Genomic DNA, 21,227 nt, shown 5'->3' on the forward strand with positions numbered 1-21,227 from the left:
AGCTTGTTTTCCTGCAACTAGACGGTCCTGTCTGGGGGTGATGGGAGACAGTGACAGATCATCAGGCATAGGGACCCCTGCTCTGGAGGGCTTAATTACAAATAGACACAGTATGATAATGTATATCTAGTTTTATTTGCTTTTCTATCAATGGCTCAATAGTCTTTCAGAATGTGTTTTACTTTTTGATCGCAAGTCCTACTGCAGATCTAAGAACCATTTTGGGAAGGTCGTTGGACTCAGGAAAATGTTCAGTTGGAGGCGATGACCTGAAGGAAAGACAGTTATGTCCACAGTCAGTAACTCCTGCCTACCTCCTTTCTTGTTTCCTCAGGGCTCCCAGTTAAGTATGGTTTTGTACTGGGTTTATGGGAAGTTGACAGGGTGTGGGGACAGGGAGGCAGGAAGTCAGCCTCAACTGTGATAGGACAGCTCAGTGTTATAGGTACATACCCAGAATACAGTGGCAAAGACAGACCTTGAAATGGCCGTGAGCCAAGATTAATACACAAGGCTCCAGAATGTGTTTGAAGGGTGGAGGGCACAGTGAAATGTGTTGTGTGGCCTTTCCACCAGGTCAGTGTAGGCAGAGCCTCACCTAACTCTCAAGCATTATTTAAGGTGGTAAAACCTGTCAAAAATTAGAGCAGGCCGGGCGCTGTGGCTCATGCCTGTAATCCCAGCACTTTGGGTGGCAGGTGGATCACTTGAGGTCAGGAGTTCAAGACCAGCCTGACCAACATGGTGAAACCCGATCTCTACTAAAAATACAAAAAAAATTTACCAGGTTTGGTGGTGCATGCCTATAATCCCAACTACTTGGGAGGCTGAAGCAGGAGAATCACTTGAACCCAGGAGGCAGAGGCTGCAGTGAGTCGAGATCAAGCCACTGCACTCCAGCCTGGGTGACACAGTGAGACTCTGTCTCAAAAAAAAAAAAAAAAAAAAGTTAGAGCAAATTATCATAATGTCCTTAGAAAGACGTTGTGGGAGAGGAAGTCGGTGCCTCCTTCCCTTGCCTAGGAGTACGCAGGCCTTTCTGAACCTGTTTTTCCCTGGGCTTTGACTTAGGAAGGCACTGATATGTCCCTGATTCAGATTTGATGTTGCCACTGTCTTACCCTAAGCAATAAACAATACAGTGAAGTCTGCTCTGTGGGTATGTGGAGGGGAGGGAATTCAGGATGGCAGCCTTATTGAAGGAAAGTACACCGTGGAAGGAAGGGAAGGGAGTAAACACATGAATGTGGTAAGGAAGATGACGGCTTGCCCAGTCCATCCAACGTTTGTTCCCCAACCCAGCCAGTGCGTAGGTCTCCAGGTGACCCCATTTCAACCCATCATTTGAGAGGACTCACATTATTTATCCAGGAGATGTAAGCAGAGACCTGGGTGAAGACTGTAGGCTTCCTGGAGACATTACAGCCCCGGCTGGACACAAAGCTGGTCACTCCATGGACAGAATACTTGCCATTCACCAAGCAATGGAGGGGGCCCCCAGAGTCACCCTGCAGGGAGGAGAAACAGAATCCTAAAACTCCAGATCTTCGGGCTTTTGCTTGCACTCCCCCCGCCCCCGTCTCTGGTTGTGAAATTCTGTACGGTTTTAAAGCTCCAATGCAAATCTCCACCTCCTTCATGTCCCCACAATCAAAATGAATCTCTTCTTCCTTTCTAAACAACCACAATACTTCTTCTCTTTTGCTGCACTTATTTCATGTTCTGCCTTGTATTTTGGTTTCATAATTTGTTTGTACCTCCTCACACATGTCTATGAGCTTCCTGAGACAAAAACTCTTACCAAGATCTTTCCTCTCCACAATGCTAGCATAGAACTTTAAATATCTAAAGTTCAATCGCTTTTATTGGCTTAAATTGAACCTGGGGTGGCAAAAATAGGGCATTCTAATAATTTCTTTATCCCCAGCATTTAGACCAATGGGTATAATTAGACCAAGTATTTAGACTTGGTAGTCAAAACATGCTAAACTAAACTGGAATGAAGAGGAAAGTGATGTATTAGGTCACATGCTCAACTGGGAACCTGGGTTTATGGAATATGATCTTGCCTCCCTTCTTACTCAGCTTCTAGAATGCCAGGTCCATAATGCCACACATAAAATGGGAAGATACTTCTCTGGAAAAACTGAACAGTCCAAGAGGAAAGACCTAAAGATACTGACATTGGAGGTCCTCCACTAAAATGGCCTAGCCAGATCACCTGACAGAGAATCCACTATTGATGAACCCCATCTAAGGCTCAGAGCTACCAATCAGCCCACCCACTCTGGGTAAAAATACCACCCCCACTCTGAAATAAAAGCAGATGGTTAAGGATCACTAAACATCTAAAGAATGCCTCTAGCCGGGCCCAGTGACTCATGCCTGTAATCCCAGCACTTTGGGAGGCTGAGGCGGGCGGATCACGAGGTCAGGAGATCGAGACCATCCTGGCTAACACGGTGAAACCCCATCTCTACTAAAAATACAAAAAATTAGCCGGGCGTGGTGGTGGGCGCCTGTAGTCCCAGCTACTCGGGAGGCTGAGGCAGGAGAATGGCGTGAACCCGGGAGGCAGAGCTTGCAGTGAGCCAAGATGGCGCCACTGGGCTCCAGCCTGGGCGACAGAGTGAGACTCTGTCTCAAAAAAAAAAAAAAAAAAGGAATTCATCTAATATAAAAATAAAGATTGAAACAAAGAAACAAGGAGCTAAATAAAAAAATGAAGGCAACCAAGACTATGCAGGGAGAAGAAAACAAGCAATAAAACCATAACTAATAGGCTGGGCATGGTGGCTCCACACCTGTAATCCCAGCACTTTGGGAGGCTGAGGCGGGCGGATCACCTGAGGTCAGGAGTTCAAGACTAGGCCAACACAGTGAAACCCCTAAAACTCTATTAAAAATACAAAAATTAGCCGGGCGTGGTGGTACATGCCTGTAATCCCAGTTACTCAGGAGGCTGAGGCAGGAGAATCGCTTGAACCCAGGAGCTGGAGGTTGTAGTGAGCTGAGATTGCACCACTGCACTTCAGCCTGGGCGACAGAGCGAGACTCCGTCTCAAAACAAACACACAAACAAAAAACATGACTAATATGCATCCATGATACAAGAACGGCATACTACTAAACAACATTCAGACAGCAAAAAGAGCCTTTGGAAATTACAGATTTGATAGATTTAGAAATGAGAGACTGGAAGAGTTGGAACATAAGATAGAACAAACAAGATATAGAGAAAACAAGAGGACCAGCTTAGGAGGCAAACATGTGAATAACAGAAATTCTAGAAAGAGAAAAGTGAAAATAGAGTGGGAGGAAATCAACAAATAAACAACATTTTCTGGATCAAAGGTCTGGAGTTTCCGGGAAAACCCACCCATTAAGTATCCCTCACAACGAATGCAAATAGATCCACATAGACCACTAGGTCAAGAGAAGATGATATAGGTCACTTAACAAATTAGTGGAGTGTGTGGGGTTGAATTAATGAAAAACTGACTATATTAAGCAAATGAAAAAGACAATTTTTAACAGACATTGAAAAAATTGAAAAAGTTGTGCAGCAAGGGCTGACCTTGGTGGTTTATGACTGTAATCCCAGCACTTTGGGAGGCTGAGGCAGGAGGACTGCTTAAGCTAAAGCCAGGAGTTTGAGACCAGCCTGGGGTACAAACCGAGACCCCCATCTCTATTAAAATTTTAAAAAATCAGCTGAGTGTGGTGGCATGTGCCTGTAGTCCTGGCTACTCAGGAGATTGAGGTGGGAGGATTTCTTGAGCCCAGAAATTCAAGGCTGCAGTGAGCTGTGATTGTGCTACTGCACTCCAGCCTGGGTGACAGAGTAAGATCCTGTCTCTTTAAAAAAAAAAAAAAAAAGTTATGCAGCAAATGAAAAGTAAACCTAGAATATATTACATGATTTTGTTGTAAATAGCATTTTATATAATCATAGTAAATGCCGAATGTTGATCTAACCAAAATATTTTGAGAGGTTGAGATGGTGATCAGAAAATGTCATGCTTGGAGGGCAGGTATGTATATATAAAAAATAAAGAGAATCACATCTGCCATAATGTCAACACAAAAATAGCAGTGTAAGTATATAATTTTAAAGATGTAGACACCAAAAGAATCAGCTGAAGAGTTGAAAGTGGCCTCCCATGGGGTGGGAGAACTAGAGTAGCTATTCTTTTCCATTATTGAGCCCCATAATCTTATTTGCCAATTTAAGCTTCAATAAAAAGTAAAACTTGGGGCCAGGTGTGGTGGCTTACACCTGTAATCCCAGCACTTTGGGAAGCCGAGGTGGGTGGATCACGTGACGCCAGGAGTTTGAGACCAGCCTGGCCAACATAGCGAAACCCCGACTCTACTAAAAATACAAAAAAAATTAGCCAGGTATGGTGGCTCATGCCTGTCATCCCAGCTACTGAGGAGGCTGAGGCACAAGAACCCAGGAGGAGGAGGTTGCAGTGAGCTGAGATCACGCTACCGTACTCCAGCCTGGGCAACAGAGCAAGACTCTGTCTCAAAAACAAACAAACAAAAGTAAAACTTAAAAAAAACTAGGGAAAGAGACCAAAATTTCAAACTGGGATAATTCTGTGTGTGTTTGTTTTGAGATGGAGTCTCGCTCTGTCGTCCAGGCTGGAGTGCAGTAGTGCCATTTCGGCTCACTGCAACCACCACCTCCCAGGTTCAGGTGATTCTCCTGCCTCAGCCGCCTGAGTAGCTGGGAGTATAGATGTGTAGCCCCACTCCCCGTTAATTTTTTTTTTTTTTTGAGACTGAGTTTCGCTCTTGTTGCCCAGGCTGGAGTGTAATGGCATGATCTCAGCTCACTGCCACTTCCGCCTCCTAGGTTCAAGCAGTTCTCCTGCCTCAGCCTCCCAAGTAGCTGGGATTACAGGCATAAACCACCACACCTGGCTAATTTTGCATTTTTAGTAGAGATGGAGTTTCACTATGTTGGTCAGGCTGGTCTTGAACTCCTGACCTCAGGTGATCCACCCACTGTGGCCTCCCAAAGTGCTGGGATTACAGACATGAGCCACTGAGCCCGACTGTTTTTTTTTTGTTTTTTTTTTTTTAAGACAGAGCCTCTGCCCAGGCTGGAGTGCAGTGGTATGATCATAGCTCACCACAGTCCCAATCTCCTGGGCTCAAGCAGTCCTCCCACTTCAGTATTCCAAGTAGCTGGGACCACAGTGTGCGCCACCTCGCCCGGCTAATTTTTTAAATTTTTGCAGAGACAGGGTCTCCCTATGTTGCTGAGGCTAATCTCTAACTCCTGAGTTTAAGTGATCCTCCCACCTCAGCCTCCCAAAGTGCTGGGATTATAGGCATGAGCCACCACGCCCAGTCAAGGGTAATTACTTTAAAGTGGAACTACCTGTACTCCACCCTAACTGCTATTTAGGAAACGATGTTTTCTTTAGATTATTGTACTCAAAACAAAACAATCTCTTCCACCAAAATTCTATCAGGGATTTGAGAGTATTTCAGGGGCTAGAGGAATGATAGATAAATGAATTGTATATAATACTATTGTCTTGTGCTAATTGACCCGAAAAGAGACCAAGCCTCAGGAGAGAGGGAGGGTGTGGCTGAGGATTTTAGAGCAGAAGGAAGAGTTGGAAAAGAAATCAGTGGGGATGGGTTGATTGAAATGGGAGGTTCTAAGTGAATCCATTCTGAGGAGAAGGGTTGGAGACCCAGAACTGTGAAAGCCCAGAAGACACACTATTTGAGAAACTCCAGTGGGGAGGGACCTGGGGACACAATTGCCTCTGAGAACTGTCAATTTGGAGTGGCAGCCAGAAGAAAAGTACTCGTTTTTTTAGAGCTCAGGGCTTATGGGAGAGCACAGGCATGTGTATTCACTCAGAAAGGTTAAACCTTAGGAGGTTATAGGTGAAGCTGGCTGATGAAGGCCTAGAAGAGGTTGCATTATGCATTAGTCTATTTTCCCCCTTATTCCCATGTAGAGTCCCTGGGATACAGGACTTTTAAATGTTAATACCAGGAAAGTCTAGGGCAAACTAGGATGAATTGGCTACTTTATTTCCATGGTTCTTTGTACTCATACACACAAAAAACTTTTTAATCCTTTTTTTTTTCTTTGAGACAGAGTCTTGCTCTGTTGCCCAGGCTGGAGTGCAGTGGCACGATTTCAGCTCACTGCAAGCTCCACCTCCCCGGTTCACACCATTCTCCTTCCTCAGCCTCCCGAGTAGCTGGGACTACAGGCACCCGCCACCACACCCGGCTAATTTTTTTGTATTTTTAGTAGAGACGGGGTTTCACCGTGTTAGCCAGGATGGTCTCGATCTCCTGACCTCGTGATCCGCCTGCCTTGGCCTCCCAAAGTGCTGGGATTACAGGCATGAGCCACTGCGCCTGGCCTAATCCTTTCATTTTTTATAGTTTCAGCCAGCCTGCCAGCTTCTCTCTCTCCTCCATCTAGTTTGGACCTTGCAGTTGATCTGCAATCCTGTCCTTTTACCCCAATCATGCAGGAAACCGTCTTTGAGTAAAACAGAGTGAATCATATATCCATGTGGTCGTAGTCTGGTCTCCAAACAGCCAGTCAGCAACATCTTGGAGGACTGTCCTCCCATTCACACTAACTAGTCCAGACCCATACAACCCTTTCCCCTTCATTTTCAGCAGTCAAGTTGACTCCTCCTAGTTCATGAGTAACTAGAAGCAATAATGTAGAACACCTGCCAACGTTCGGCTACCAAATCCAGCAAACTTTTCTATGTCTGTGTGCACATCTGGTATCCCTCTTCCTGTTCAGAGCCAGCTCCACCTGTGCTCTTAGTTCCATCTCTTTCTTCTGTGGGATCTTGTGCCATCCATTATTATTATTACCTCTGTCTGACTCTACAGGATTCTTTCCTCTCTGCCTATTTATGCACTCAATTTTCTTTTCTCTTTTTTTGAGACGGAGTCTCACTCTGTCACCCAGGCTGGAGTGCGGTGGTGCGATCTTGGCTCACTGCAACCTCTGCCTCCTAGGTTCGAGCAATTCTCCTGCCTCAGCCTCCTGAGTAGCTAGGATTACAGGCACGCGCCACCATGCCTGGCTACTTTTTTGTATTTTTAGTAGATGGTGTTTCACCATGCTGGCCAGGCTGGTCTCGAACTCCTGACCTTGTGATCTGCCCGCCATAGCCTCCCAAAGCACTGATATTACAGGCGGGAGCCACCGCGCCCGGCCAATTTTCTTCTCTTAGAAGATCCACTCCCTCCATGACTTGCTGTCCTTAAAGCTACCAGACTTTTTTTGTTCTTCCTTTTTTTTTTTTTTTGTCCTCTTTTGAGACAGGGTCTCACTCTGTTGCCCAGGCCGGAGTGCCGTGGTGCGATCATAGCTCACTGCAGCCTCGAACTCCTTGGCTCAAGTGATCTTCCCACCTCAGCCTTCCAAGTAGCTGGGGTTACAGGTGCACGCCACCACATCCAGCTAATTTTTAAAATTTTCATAGAGATGAAGTCTCCCTACATTTCCCAGGCTGGTCTCTAACTCCTGGGCTCAAGCGATCCTCCTGCCTCAATCTGCCAAAATCTTGGGATTACAGGCATGAGCTACTACACCCGGCTGGTTATATGTCTTATTGCCTCTTTATTTCTTACCCTTCGGACAAGCTTCTGCCCTCACCACTCCACTGAAACTGCTCTTGCCAAGGTTACAATTGCCAAAGTGGCCACTTTCAGCTCTTACCTACTGTGGCTTCTGGGTGAATTGTATATTATGTGATATCTGTAAGTACTTCCTGAGATTTCATAATATCCTTATTACCAGGTTTTTATCTTACATCTACTTCTCCTTTCTTAGATCCTAGTGGTTTCTTTATCCTCCACTTATCCCTGAAACACTCAAGTATTTATGTTCTGACAGTTCTTTCCCAACCCACTGCTCTTTTCTCATTGAACAGTTTTTCCCTGGAATGGGATCTGATTTGTTCTCAGTAGGTATCTCTAGCCCAGCTCTTCCCCCAGGCCCCACTTTTTCTATCTAATTTCTTGGCCAGGCGTGGTGGCTCATGCCTGTAATCCCAGCACTTTGGGAGGCTGAGGTCAGGAGTTCGAGACTTAGCCTGGCCAACATGGGGAAACCCCGTCTCTACTAAAAATACAAAAATTAGCCAGGTGTTGTGGCACATGCCTGTAATCCCGGCTACTTAGGAACCTGAGGTAGTAGAATCACTTGAGCCCGTGAGACAGAGGGGGCAGTGAGCTGAGATCGCGCTACTGCACTCCAGCCTGGGTGAGAGAGGGAGACTCCGTCTCAAACAAAACAAAAAAAACACCAAATTTCTTACTGGTTGCTATACCTGAATGTCCCACTGGGATCTCAGACAAAGGTTGTCCAGAACCAAACTCATCATCTTCTCTCTCAAACTCTGTAAATCTTGTCTCAGGGCAACAGTGCCCTCCCCCAAATCACTTAAACCAGATGCTTGGCTGTTGTTCCAGATCCTCCTCCTTCCCTCCTCCGGTTCCTATCACCACTGCCTTAATTCAGGCCCTCAAATTTCTTGCTTAGATCATTGCAATAGCCCTCTAGGCAATCTCCCTGCCTCTCTTGTCTTCTTCAAAAACATGCCTAAAGAACAATTCTAAAAGGTGAATCTGGTTGTGCTAGTCTCCTGTTTAGAAGTCTTTGATGGCTTCCCAATGCCCAAGAGATAAGGTTCATGTCCCCAAGCCTGGCATTTGAAGCCCTGAGTTGTACAGCTCTTGCTTGCCTCTCTAGTCTTACCTCCTGACATTTCCTAGTATGGTGGTAGCTTCTATTCTAGCCCACGGGTCAGCAAACCTCTTCTGTTAAGGGCCAAACAGTACATATTTCAGGCTTTGCAGGCCATACCGTCTTGATTGCAACTACTTTGTGTTGTACTACAAAAGCAGCCATAGGCTGGGCATGGTGCCTCACGCCTATAATCCCAGCACTCCAGGAGGCCAAGGCAGGAGGATTGCTTGAGGCCAGGAGTTCAAGACCAGCCTGGGCATCATAGTGAAACCTTGTCACTACCAAAAACAAAACAAAATTAGCTGGGTGTGATGGCATGTGCCTGTGATCCTAGCTACTTGGGAGGCTGAGGTGGGAGGATCATTTGAGCCCAGGAAGTTGAGGCTGCAGTGAGCCAAGATGGCACCACTGCACTCCAGCCTGAGTGACAGAGCAAGACCTTATCTCTTCAAAAAAAAAAAAAAAAAAAAAAAGCAGCCATAAACAGTTTGTAAATGAGCAACTGTGACTGTGTTCCAGTGAAATGTTATTTATGGGCACTGAAATTTTATATATTCTTCATGTGTCATGACATATTATTATTCTGATTTTTTTTCCTTACCATTAATAAATGTAATAATTCCAGCCTGGGCAACATGGTGAAACCCTGTCTCTACAAAAAATACAAAAAATTAGCTGGGTATGGTGGTATGTGCCTGTAGTCCCAGCTACTAGGGAGGCTGAGGTGGGAAAATCACTTGAGCCTGGGAGGCAGAGGTTACAAGTGAACCATGATGGTACAACTGAACTCCAGCCTGGGCAACAGAGTGAGACGCTGTCTCAAAAAAAAAACAAATATATATATATATGTATATGGCCAGGCGCGGTGGCTCATGCCTGTAATCCCAGCACTTTGGGAGGCAGAGGCAGGTGGATCACGAGGTCAGGAGTCCGAGACCAGCCAGTTCGAGACCAGCCTTGCAAACATGGTGAAATCCTGTCTCTACTAAAAATACAAAAATTAGCAGATGTGGTGGTGCGTGCCTGTAATCCCAGCTACTCGGGAGGCTGAGGCAGAAGAATTGCTTGAACCCGGGAGGCAGAGGTTTCAGTGAGCTGAGATTGCGCCACTGCACTCCAGTCTGGGCGACAGAGTGAGACTCCATCTCAGGAAAAAAAAAAAACATACACACACACACACACACACACACACACACACATACACATACGCATACATATATATATATATATATAGAAATCAAAATGTAATAACTGTTCTAAGCTCATGGGCCATATAAAACAAGCAGTGAGCTAGATTCGGCTTGTGGACCTCCAGCCGCTGCTCTACTCTAGCCTTAGGGAATGCCCCATAATTCTGTATGTACTCTAGGTTGTTTCTTGGCCCCCTGCCTTTATTCATGCCGTTCCCTCCCTCTGAATGTCTTTTCTCCTTTTTGCCTGGCCTATTCCTATTTGCCCCTCAGGACCCACTACAAATTCTAGTTTCTTGGGGAAGGAAAGTCTTTTCTGGCCCCAGTAGGTAGAGGTAGGTACCTACCCTTGGGCTTCCATATCACCTGTGCACATCCTGATTATTAACACTTAACCACATTGTATTACAATGTTCTATTGTATGTCTGTGCCTCTGGTTTCTTTACTTGACACTGTTTGATCCATCTTTGTAACCTTAGCACTTAGCACAATGCCTGGCATATAGTAGATATATAATGAATAGTTGTTAAACTGCATTAAGAAATCTGGGGTGGGGCATGGTGGCTCACGCCTGTATTCCCAGCACTTTGGGAGGCCAATGTGGGAGGATCACTTGAGCCCTGGAGTCTGAGACCAGCCTGGGCCACAAAGCAAGACCCCATCTCTATATTAAAATAATAATAATAAAAAAAGCTTAAAAAGAGAAATCTGTAAGATAGTTTATGGCTGATTGATCTTGTCAAAATAGAGGAAGGTTATATTTGTTATATATAAGCTATTATAAAATTATTTTGTGCACTTTCCCCTATCAAACTCACCTGTACATACTGCCAGAAATATCACTGGGGTAAAGGGATGGTGGTAGAGGAACTGCAAGAGAAGTAGGACTGATAGGTAAGAGGGAGCAGGGTACTGCTTATACAGCATCACAACCACCTGTCCAGGCTCAGCTGCATCGCTGCCATTAAAAAATCTAGGTAACAAATTTGGCTGGGCATGGTGGCTCACGCCTGTAGTCCCAGCACTTTGGGAGGCCAAGGCGGGTGGATCACCTGAGGTCGGGAGTTCGAGATCAGCCTGAGCAACATGGAGAAACCCTGTCTCTACTAAAAATACAAAAAATTAGCCGGGCGTGGTGGTGCATGCCTGTAATCCCAGCTACTTGGGAGGCTGAGGCAGGAGAATTGCTTGAACCCAGAGGCGGAGGTTGCAGTGAGCCGAGATCGTCCCATTGCACTCCAGTCTGGGCAACAAGAGCAAAACTCCATCTCAAAAAAAAAATCTAGGTAACAAATTCTAAGAACACACACATATACCAACAACAACATATAAATGTTGGGCCACGTACAAACTTTGAAGTGAGGGCATCGAGCAAGATCAATTTTAAGGTTCCTTTCAACTTTGAGTTTCTGCATGTGTAGAATTACCAGCACAGGATCATTCTCACTTAGACGCCAGAGTAGAAAATTGAGTCTGTGTAGGACTAAGAGTAAGTGTCGAATAGGGAGGTGAGGAAGAGGGGTGGAGGGATAGGCAGAGAGTGGCGGGACCTGGGGTGGGACCCCCTGCAAATGTTCACCTGGCATCCAGAGCGAACTCCATCTCCACCAGCACACACCATGGTGTTCTTCACAGTGGAGCCCCAGTAGGAGGAGCTGGAGCAGATGGCGTAGTCCACAGAGGGCAGGTAAGCCTGCTGCAGGGTCTGGGCCAGCTGCCCATTGGCTGAACAGGACACACGGCATTGGCAGTCAGCTCCAGATGTGGTCCAGCAGAAAAACCTTCCACCCCTGCCACACCTTCCCAAACTCTCGTGAAAGCTGAGCTCAGGGCAAACTCCTTCTCTCTCCCTGTTGCATGTGGTGGATCCTCTGTCTTCTCTCTTTATATGGCCGCACAGGACCCTTCCCTCAGGGAGGCAGCCTTGCTTACTGTACCTAGGCTCCAAGCCACCAACCCTACTCCTGCTTCTTTTCACTCGTGGATAACTTAGTTGCACCATGGAATGGCCTTATTTGTGGATGATTTATCTGTCTGTTCTGTTTGCTCCTGCAAGCTCCATGGAGCAGAAATGGGATTGTGCATGCTTGTTTCCATTTCTTTCTTTCTTTTTTTTTTTTTTTTTTGAGATGGAGTTTCACTCTTGTTGCCCAGGCTGGAGTGCAATGGAGCAATCTCGGCTCACCACAACCTCCGCCTCCCAGGTTCAAGAGATTCTCCTGCCTCAGCCTGCCGAGTAGCTGGGATTAAAGGCATGCACCACCATGCCTGGCTAATTTTGTATTTTTAGTAGAGATGGGGTTTCTCCATGTTGGTCAGGCTTAAGCGATCCTCCTTCCTCAGCCTCCTGAGTACCTGGGACTACAGACTCATGCCACCACACTCAGCTAAGGATCCTTAATTTCTCTGGACCTTGGTTTCCTCATGTATAAAATGAAGGGCTGGCTGGCTGCAGTGGCACATGCCTGTAATCCCAGCACTTTGGGAGGCCAAGGTGGGAGGATTTCTTAAGCTCAGGAGTTCGAGGCCAGCCTAGGCAATATAGCGAGATCCCATCTCTACAAAAAAATTTAAAAATTAGCTGAGTGTGGTGGTACATGCCTATAGTCTCAGCTACTCAGGAGGCTGAGGTGGGAGGATCACTTGAGCCCAGGAAGTGGAGGTTGCAGCCTGGGTGACAGAGCAAAACCCTGTCTCTAAATAAATAAATAAATTTTAAAAATGAGGGGCTGGTAAAAAAAATTCTCTGATAAAGTCTTTTTTTGTTCTAAGAGTCCATGAATCTGTCAACTACTTCACAGCCCATTCTTAGCTTGATATAATGCATCAGTTATTGTATCTATGGTTCTTTTAGCTCCTGGTCTCTGGCCATAAGCACCTAGGACCACAGAAAAAGGTGTCTTAGAAGCTCAGCTACCTAATCAAGATCCCCGTGGTGGATTGTGCCAATGTAGGCAACTTACTCTTGGTCTTGCCCCAGCCTGTGATGTAGCAGGGACTGTTGTTAGCCAGGATGGCTCCCTCCTGGGGCAGAACACCCAGCTGGACATAGCTATTGAGGGTAACGCTCTGGGCCAGGCGCAGCAGGGCGATGTCATAGCTGCAGGAGAAAAGGAGACTGCTCACTCATGGGATCAGCTCTTCCCTGAGGTCAGCATATACACTGGCCCTCTCTAAGCATTTGTATCCCCGTGGAATTGGAAAGTGACGACTTTGAAGAAGGACGGGGCTCACTTGCTAAGCCTCAAACTAGAGCAATTACAATTTAACATGTAAACATTCTATGTTTAACAGCAGCATCTGCTGGTGGGACATTGGTATTGCAGCCTAGCTCTGACCTTTGCAACCCCGGGAAGTAGAGAATGGGGGAATCTGAAAGGAGCAGAGTGGCATGATCTTGGTGGCAGAGTTCTCAAACAAGAAAAATGTAAAAGGCTGAGTGGCTCTACAAGCTCAGTAGAATATCCCAATTCCTTGAACCCACCCCCACCTGCACATGCTATAGAATTGACCACCGTTTTAATTATTTATTTTCCAGAAGTTTACAACTCAACTTGCAATTTTCCCGTGTAAGATTCACTTTAGGAAATTTACTTTTGCTGATGGAGTCTATTCTATAATGTGAATAATAAATAATGATAAAACCCCCCATAGAAACAGAACATTAAAATCTGCAGAGAATGGTAATCCACTGTGCAAACCAGCCTGGATCCAACAAATCCTAAAGGTCTTCAAAGACTCTCAAGCCCTCCAGAACGTCAGTTCTCTTTTTCTTATGAGACAGAGTCTCACTCTGTCACCCAGGCTGGAGTGCAGTGGCGCGATCTCAGCTCACTGCACCCTCTTCCTCCTGGGTTCAAGTGATTCTCCTGTAATCAAGCGATTACAGGCACATGCCACCATGCCTGGCTAATTTTTTTTTTTTTGTATTTTTAGTACAGACAGGGTTTCACCATATTGGTCAGGCTGGTCTCAAACTCCTGACCTCAGGTGATCCGCCTGCCTTGGCTTCCCAAAGTGTTGGGATTATAGGCATGAGCCACTGTGCCTGGCTCAGAACCTAAATTCTCAAAGTCCTCCTGGACGAATGAGCCAGCTCATTGCTCCCTCTAGGACATGGTGCCTTCTCTCAGGCTCAGCTGGGCTCCTTAACTAAAGGCCAGGCCAGGAGCCACGGACCAGGTTTCAGGCCATGCAATCCCTCTAGCCCTCTGAAAGAACAGGTGAAGGCAGCCAGTTGTTGGCTAGTCAGGCCTCACCGCCCAGCCCAGGGCCAGCTTGGACTTGCTCCTACCCGGCAGCCACGTTATCGCTGTTCCAGTATGGATGCACCACGATCTTCTGCACACTCACGTACTGCTCAGTGCCATCATTCTGGCTCAGGTTATGGTCTCCAGCCACCACGCGGAAAGTCTTCTGGCTGGCGTGAGAGAAGGAATCCCTGAGTCATCCAGGGGACTCAAACCTTCTCTACCCCACTTAGAGAAAAGTTGAAAAACCATCTTTTTTTTTAATCATTATTATTTAGGAAATTTTTTTTTTTTTTTAGAGATGGGGTTTTGCTGTGTTGCCCAGGCTGGCTTCAAACTCCCAGGCTCAAGTGATCCTCCCACCGCAGCTTCCCTAGTAGCTGGGACTACAGGTGTGAGCCACCGTGCCCAGGTTTTGTTTATTATTTTAGGACAGGAACCCATCTTATCTGGTCTAGGCAGAGGAGGGATATAAGACTCTCCAAAATGAGAAAGTAACAAGCTCTTTCATTCCCTAATTGACTAACTTGTGGAAGTGAAAAAAACTACCATCACTTTGATTTTCTCGGTTTAACATCATAGGCTGAATATCTTGTAAACTGGGAGAGGTGTAGTGCGCATAAATGAAATAATGGCTCTCAGCCACCAAGATTTTGAAGGAAGCATAGACTTTTAGGCTAGTTGTTCTTAAAGCGTGGTTCCTGGGCCGCAGCATGAGCATCACCTGGAAACTTGTTAGAAATGCAAATTATCAGGCCTCACCCTGGACCTACCAAATTAGAAACTCTGCTGGATGGGGCCCAGCAATCTGTGCCTTCCAGGTGATTCTGACACATGCTCAAATGTGAAAACCATTGCCCAAGACAAATAGGAAAAAATAGTCACCAGTCAGACATTGACTAGGCACTTACATATTTACTCAATCCTCACAACATTTCTACAAAGTAAATGTTCTTAGCCCACTTTAGAGATAGGAGAATGGGGGCATAGTTGCCCAAGGCTACATAGCTAGAATTTGGTGGAGCAAGATTTGAATTTGAGTCTCCCTGACTCCAAAGTTTGTACTTTCACCATACTACCTCCCTGCAGGCCCTGAACAGGAAAGGAGCCACTGCCCAGTCCCTGAAGTGCTGTCCAGAGAGGGCAAAATTATATCCTCTTTCAGAAGGTCAGCCCCTTCCCCTTCCAGGGGCCCAGGAAAGCTTGTCTTTGTTTTTCTTACTAATCCACGCAGTGAGCAGCTGTCATCACCCAGTTCTGTCTGATAAGGGTCCCTCCACAGGTGTGATACCGGGAACCTCCAGACCGGTACTGGAGGGAAATCTAGATGGGGAGGAAAGAAAGAAGGGATAGGTTGGTGTTTCTCAAATGGTTTTGCCCCAGGTCGGTTGCAGTGGCTCATGCCAGTAATCCCAGAACTTTGGAAGGCTGAGGCAGGAGGATCAGTTGAGCCTAGGAGCTGGAGACCAGCCTGGGCAACATAGTGAGACCTCGCCTCTACAACGTCAAAAATAATTAAATATAAAAGACTTTGCCTCAAACTACATGTCACCTCCTTAAAGTCCTGCTGTCCTTCAAAACATTCTCTTTCTAGGCTAGAGATGGCAAATAGGTTTCATCTGACCTGCCAATTGCTACTGATTGCTTGGTAGTGGCCACCTGGAGTGTGGCATTGATAAGGGGTGTGTAGATGCTTCTGGGGCCAGCAGGAAGGGATGCTCCATCGCTTGGTGATGTTTGCTGTGTACATGGATGGAGGAGTAAAGGCACACAGTGTATTTGGCATTATCTCTCTAGGTTGTTGCAATGGACCTAGAACCCATTGTAACTCCTTTTTTGGAACTCCTTCTACCTCTGTTCTCCCTTAAAGAGGAACTATAGGCCAGGCACCATGGCTCACGCCTGTGATCCTAGCACATTGGGAGGCCAAGGCGGGTGGATCACCAGGTCAGGAGATCAAGACCATCCTGGCCAACATGGTGAAACCCCATCTCTACTAAAAATGCAAAAATTAGTCGGGCGTGGTGGCATGCACCTGTAGTCCCAGCTACTCAGGAGGCTGAGGCAGGAGAATTGCTTGAACCCAGGAGGTGGAGGTTACAGTGAGCTGAGATAGCGTCACTGCACTGCAGCCTGGTGACAGAGCGAGACTCCATCGCCCCCTCTCCTCCCCCAAAAAAGAGGAACTATAGGCAAAGATTTGCTCCATCACCTAAGCCCAACAGGCTTAGGTCTCCAGAGCTGTACCTTTAGTGTTTTCAAGACATCTCCTGTCTCCCCACTTCAGGGACTACTTAGAAATACCAATGGGAGGCCAGGCGCTGTGGCTCATGCCTGTAATCCCAGCACTTTGGGAGGCTGAGGCGGGTGGATCACCTGAGGTCAGGAGTTTGAGACCAGCCTGGCCAACATGGTGAAACCCCGTCTCTACTAAAAATACAAAAATTAGCTGGGCATGGTGACAGGCGCCTGTAATCCCAGCTACTCAGGAGGCTGACGCAGGAGAACTGCTTGAACCCAGGAGGCAGAGTTTGCAGTGAGCCGAGATCATGCCATTGCACTCTAGCCTGGGCAATGAGAGCAAAACTCCATCTCAAAAAAAAAAAAATACCAATAGGATGTTTGTTTTTATCAGTTCATGTCTCTTCTTCTAGCACCTCATGTTATGTAATAGCTCTACTCCTGAAAACTGGGGCTCAGACTTTTATAAGCTAAAACTCTGATTGCAGTGATATCTTCTCAAAGTGTGGATCTTCATCAGTTAATTTGCCAGGTTTACATATTTAGATCACTTAAATCAGGGCCCAGCTGCCCTGTTAGCAAAGTGGAAACTCTAAATAGCCAACTAAGCAGCATGCTGTACGTGTGTGTGTGTGTGTGTGCGCGCACATGCGTGCAAGCATTGTGACACACACAGTGTGGAGTGGTGTGCGTGTGAGTTTCAAGGTATGTGGAGTCCAAGGTGACTGTCTGGCACCCAGTCTTTCTTGCGTGGCACAAGTGCTGTCGCTGAGAATATAAATGTATCTTGTGTTTGGGTGTGTGCCTTGAAGAGGGACTGTGGTTGGTGTATAAATCCCCTCCTCCAAGCCTTTTGCATTTAGAAAACCACCTAAGCCTGATCCCATCCATCTTTAAAATCGAGAACCTAGACAATTGGAGAGCTGCTTGTTGATAGGGACATGCACAAATACACATGATACCTTATGTCATGCACTGAGCTCTTATTTGGGTGGAAGTCTGGGGCTGGGAAGGAACACCCACCTGAGAGGGCCAGGAATTCCTCCCGGCCTCAGTCCCTCCGACTACGCGGGCATTGGTTTCCGGAAGGTCCTGGGTGCTGTGTCCTTTGTGGGGCAGAAGAAAAGTGAGTGATGACTAAGCATGGGGTCAGCCAGGGGTAGGGGTGGGGGGTGGCGATTGTGCTTTGAGGAATGTTAGCCTTGTCTGCAAATTCACAGTTCCTCTCTAACGAATGAGGGGCCCAGCTGTGAGTTCTCTGAGCCCCTTTTGAAAACAGGGGTGCCTGGGTGCCTTCTGTTTCCCCCAGGTGTTCCCAGAACTCCGGCATGCTATGAAGGACCTCTCTCAAACCACCAGGCTAGGCCCCAGAGGCTCCTTGTGGTCTCCTCTTTGCTCAAGATCACCCTTTGGCCTGAAGAGACCCCCCCCCACTCTTTGACCCCCACCAGCCCCCTAATGCTTTGGCAAGATTCTCCAGGGTTCAGGGCCTGCAGTGCACACCCCAGCCAGGCACCTGCTGAGGAAGTCCTCCTGTCAATGGGGGTGGTGGGGAAGCCCAGGGACCCACCCCACTACCAGATGGGGCTTCTCTCTGCTTTGTGGCCCAGGGACCTGCCACCCAGAGGGGCCTGAATAGCCAGTGGCCCTGACCTTTTCTATCTTGGCCTCCAGGAGAGTAAAGGACGCTCTGCAGGCAGAGCGTCCCACCTGCCCTGGGACAGGGTGCTGGCCTGGACTTAGGGAAAATTTGCTGACCTTCCTGCCCAAGTCCCCCTCCCTATAGACCTCAGGCCACATGATCCACTTACCATAAAGGACCAGGGTTGCGACTGGACCATATCCACTTACCATAAAGGACCAGCATGTTGCCGATGGAGTAGACCACTGCCTTCTTGCTTGGACCAAGCCCTCTTTATACTCCTCTTAGCAGCAAAGCTGACTGTCTTCTTGCCAACTGGCAGGGCTGAGGGTGCAAGGCAGGGAAAATCACAAGTGACATGGAAATACAAATGAAAATATTTCTTTTCAAGTAAACTAATGTATCTGTTATTCAAAGACAGAACAAGGCCAGGGCTGAATTAATCATCTGCTTTTAATTGAAAAGCATCCAACAAACTCTTTTTCAGAAATAAGATGGAGAACCAGGGCTGGTTTTTCTCTAAGGGAGCACCCCTTGTCATCCATCACTCTCTCGTTGTCCTCAGTGGCACCATAAATGCAGAGACTTGCCCTGTGCACTAGCAGCTGGAGGCCAGGGGGATAGTGGAAGAGGGGGGAGTGGTTAGCAAGGGCAAGGAAGACACAGCAACTCTCTCTGCCCAAAGAGGGAGATGGCACATGCCCCCAGGATGCAGGCATAGGTGTAAATGCAGACACAAAAGCCAAATAGATGCAGTGGAGATAATTCTGGGGGAGGAAAGTACTGAGAAACAGGCTTGGGCCCTCTCAGATGGAGAGCCAAGAAGGGGCTCCCAGAGGAGAATATGAGGCAGGGTAGAGGAGGGGATCCTTGGGATGTGAAGACAGTCTGAGGGCTATGAGGGTAGATGGAGGGTGGAGGGCAGAGGGAGAACGAGGGTAGGAGCCGAGGTTCCTGCAGGAGATGAAAGGCTTTGTTCATCACAGTTCGTAGAGGAGAGAGAAGGGAGTTGCGGCCGGGCGCGGTGGTTTACGCCTGTAATCCCAGCACTTTGGGAGGCTGAGGCGGGCGGATCACAAGATCAAGAGATCGAGACCATCCTGGCCAACATGGCGAAACCCCGTCTACTAAAAATACAAAAATTGGCCGGGCGCGGTGGCTCATGCCTGTAATCCCAGCACTTTGGGAGTCGGAGGCGGGCGGATCACGAGGTCAGGAGATTGAGACTACTCTGGCTAACACAGTGAAACCCCGTCTCTACTAAAAAAATACAAAAAATTAGCTGGGCGTGGTGGCAGGCGCCTGTAGTCCCAGCTCCTCGGGAGGCGCAGGCAGGAGAATGGCGTGAGCCCGGGAGGCGGAGCTTGCAGTGAGCCGAGATCGCGCCACTGCACTCCAACCTGGGCGACAGAGCGAGACTCCATCTAAAAAAAAACAAAAACAAAATACAAAAATTAGCTGGGCATGGTGGTGCGCTTCTGCAGTCCCAGCTAATCTGGAGGCTGAGGCAGGAGAATCGCTTCAACCTGGGAAGCGGAGGTTGCTGCACTCCAGCCTGGAGACAGAGCAAGACTCTGTCTCAAAATAAATAAATAAATAAATAAATAAATAAATAAATAAATAAATAAATAGAGAGAGAAAAGAGTTGCAATGTGCCTTGAGGTGGGCAGAGGACCCTTGGGTTGGCCACAAAATGATCAGAGCCACTGCAGGCTCCAGAGCAGAGGACTGTGGGTGCAGCAGTCATGGTAGCAACGCATGGGGTTTGGAATTAGGCAGGGAGAAGCCAGGAACCTAGACAGAAGCAGGACCATCACCTGCCCACCCAGGGCTTTTGTTGCCTAAACACTCCAGAATCCAAGCTTCATGGCTGCAGGGGTGGGAGAAACCTGGAAAATGCTCTTTGAAGGAATCTGCACAGTCACTTTTTCAGTGTCTAGAGCTGTTCAGAGGAGTTGCACTTTGATGCTCAGATAACCTGAAGAGCTTGCTCTCCAGCCTGCCCTCCAGCATTCTGGCACACTCAGGGAAGAGGGGTGAGCTGCGCTAGGGAACCCGGGGCCTCTTTGGTCATTCTCCTCCCGCTTCCCTGCTTCCTCTGGCCTCTAGCCCCAGGATGAGGAGTCCAAGAGGAGGCTTGAGGGCCTCCTGAAGGTTACCTCTTTACATCACAGCAGGGCCAGATCACCTGAGGTCAGGAGTTCCAGACCAGCCTGGCCAACATGGTGAAATCCCGTCTCTACTGAAAATACAAAAATTAGCCAGGCGTTGTGGTGTAGTCCCTGTGCTTGGGAGCTGTAATCCCAGCTCCTTGGGAAGCTGTGGCAGGGAGAGTTGCTTGAACCCTGGAGGTGGAGGTTGCAGTGAGCCGAGATTGTGCCACTGCACTCCAGCCTGGGCAACAGAGCAAGACTCCATCTCAAAAAAAAAAAAAAAAAAATCTTACTCTTAGGGTTAGGCATAGACAATGGCTTAAATTTTTTCTTTTTTTAAGACAGGGTCTCATTCTGTTGCCCATGCTAGAGTGCAGTGGCATGATCTCAACTCACTGCAACCTCCATCTTCTGGGCTCAAGCGATCCTCCCACCTCAGCCCCTCAAGTAGCTGGGACTACAGGTGCCAGCCACCATGCCCAGCTAATTTTTGTATTTTTTGTAGAGACGAGGTTTCACCATGTTGCCCAAGCTAGTCTCAAACTCCTGAGCTCAAGTGATTCACCCACCTCAGCCTCCCCAAGTACTGGGATTGCAGGCATGAGCCACCCGCCCAGCCAGACAATGACTTAAATTTTGAGGCATTGCATTTCTTCTGACATTGCATACCAATTCTAGGAATGAATTCTTTTGAGATAAACACTGGTCGGGCATGGTGGCTCATGTTTGTAATCTCAGCAATTTGGGAAGCCAAGGCGGGAGGACTGCTTGAGGCCAGAAGTTTGGTATCAGCCTGGGCAACATAATGAGACCTTGTCTCTACAAAACATGAAAAAAACATGGTGGCGCATGCCTGTAGTCCCATTACTTGGGAGGCTGAGGTGGGAGGATCCCTTGAGCATGGGAGGTCGAGGCTGCAGTGAGCCATGATTGTGTCACTGCACTCCAGCCTGGGTGACAAAACAAGACCCAGTCTCAAAACAAAA

The 21,227-nt window shown here is 47.5% G+C and overlaps 1 protein-coding gene across 1 annotated transcript; it reads right to left on the reverse strand.

Moving 5' to 3' along the window:
- Nucleotides 1–116: 116 nt before the first annotated feature.
- Nucleotides 117–18,354, reverse strand: CELA1 (chymotrypsin like elastase 1). Its single transcript, NM_001971.6, has 8 exons — nt 18,298–18,354; nt 17,470–17,552; nt 15,428–15,528; nt 14,250–14,375; nt 12,919–13,055; nt 11,535–11,680; nt 1,359–1,508; nt 117–269 (listed from the first exon to the last, which is right to left on the reverse strand). Exons 1-8 carry the CDS (start codon nt 18,311–18,313, stop codon nt 252–254), a joined length of 777 nt encoding a protein of 258 aa, NP_001962.3. The 5' UTR covers nt 18,314–18,354; the 3' UTR covers nt 117–251.
- Between the last annotated feature and the right edge of the window lie 2,873 nt (nt 18,355–21,227).

Source organism: Homo sapiens, chromosome 12 (genome assembly GCF_000001405.40).
Source record: "Homo sapiens chromosome 12, GRCh38.p14 Primary Assembly".
Lineage (NCBI taxonomy): Eukaryota > Metazoa > Chordata > Mammalia > Primates > Hominidae > Homo > Homo sapiens.

Coding starts and splice junctions, on each gene's coding strand:
- CELA1 (NM_001971.6), bottom strand. Junction 15,529..17,469: donor GGAATTCCTGGCCCTCTCAG/GTGGGTGTTCCT, acceptor CTCCCCATCTAG/ATTTCCCTCCAGTACCGGTC. Junction 11,681..12,918: donor AGGCTGGGGCAAGACCAAGA/GTAAGTTGCCTA, acceptor TGTCCTGTTCAG/CCAATGGGCAGCTGGCCCAG.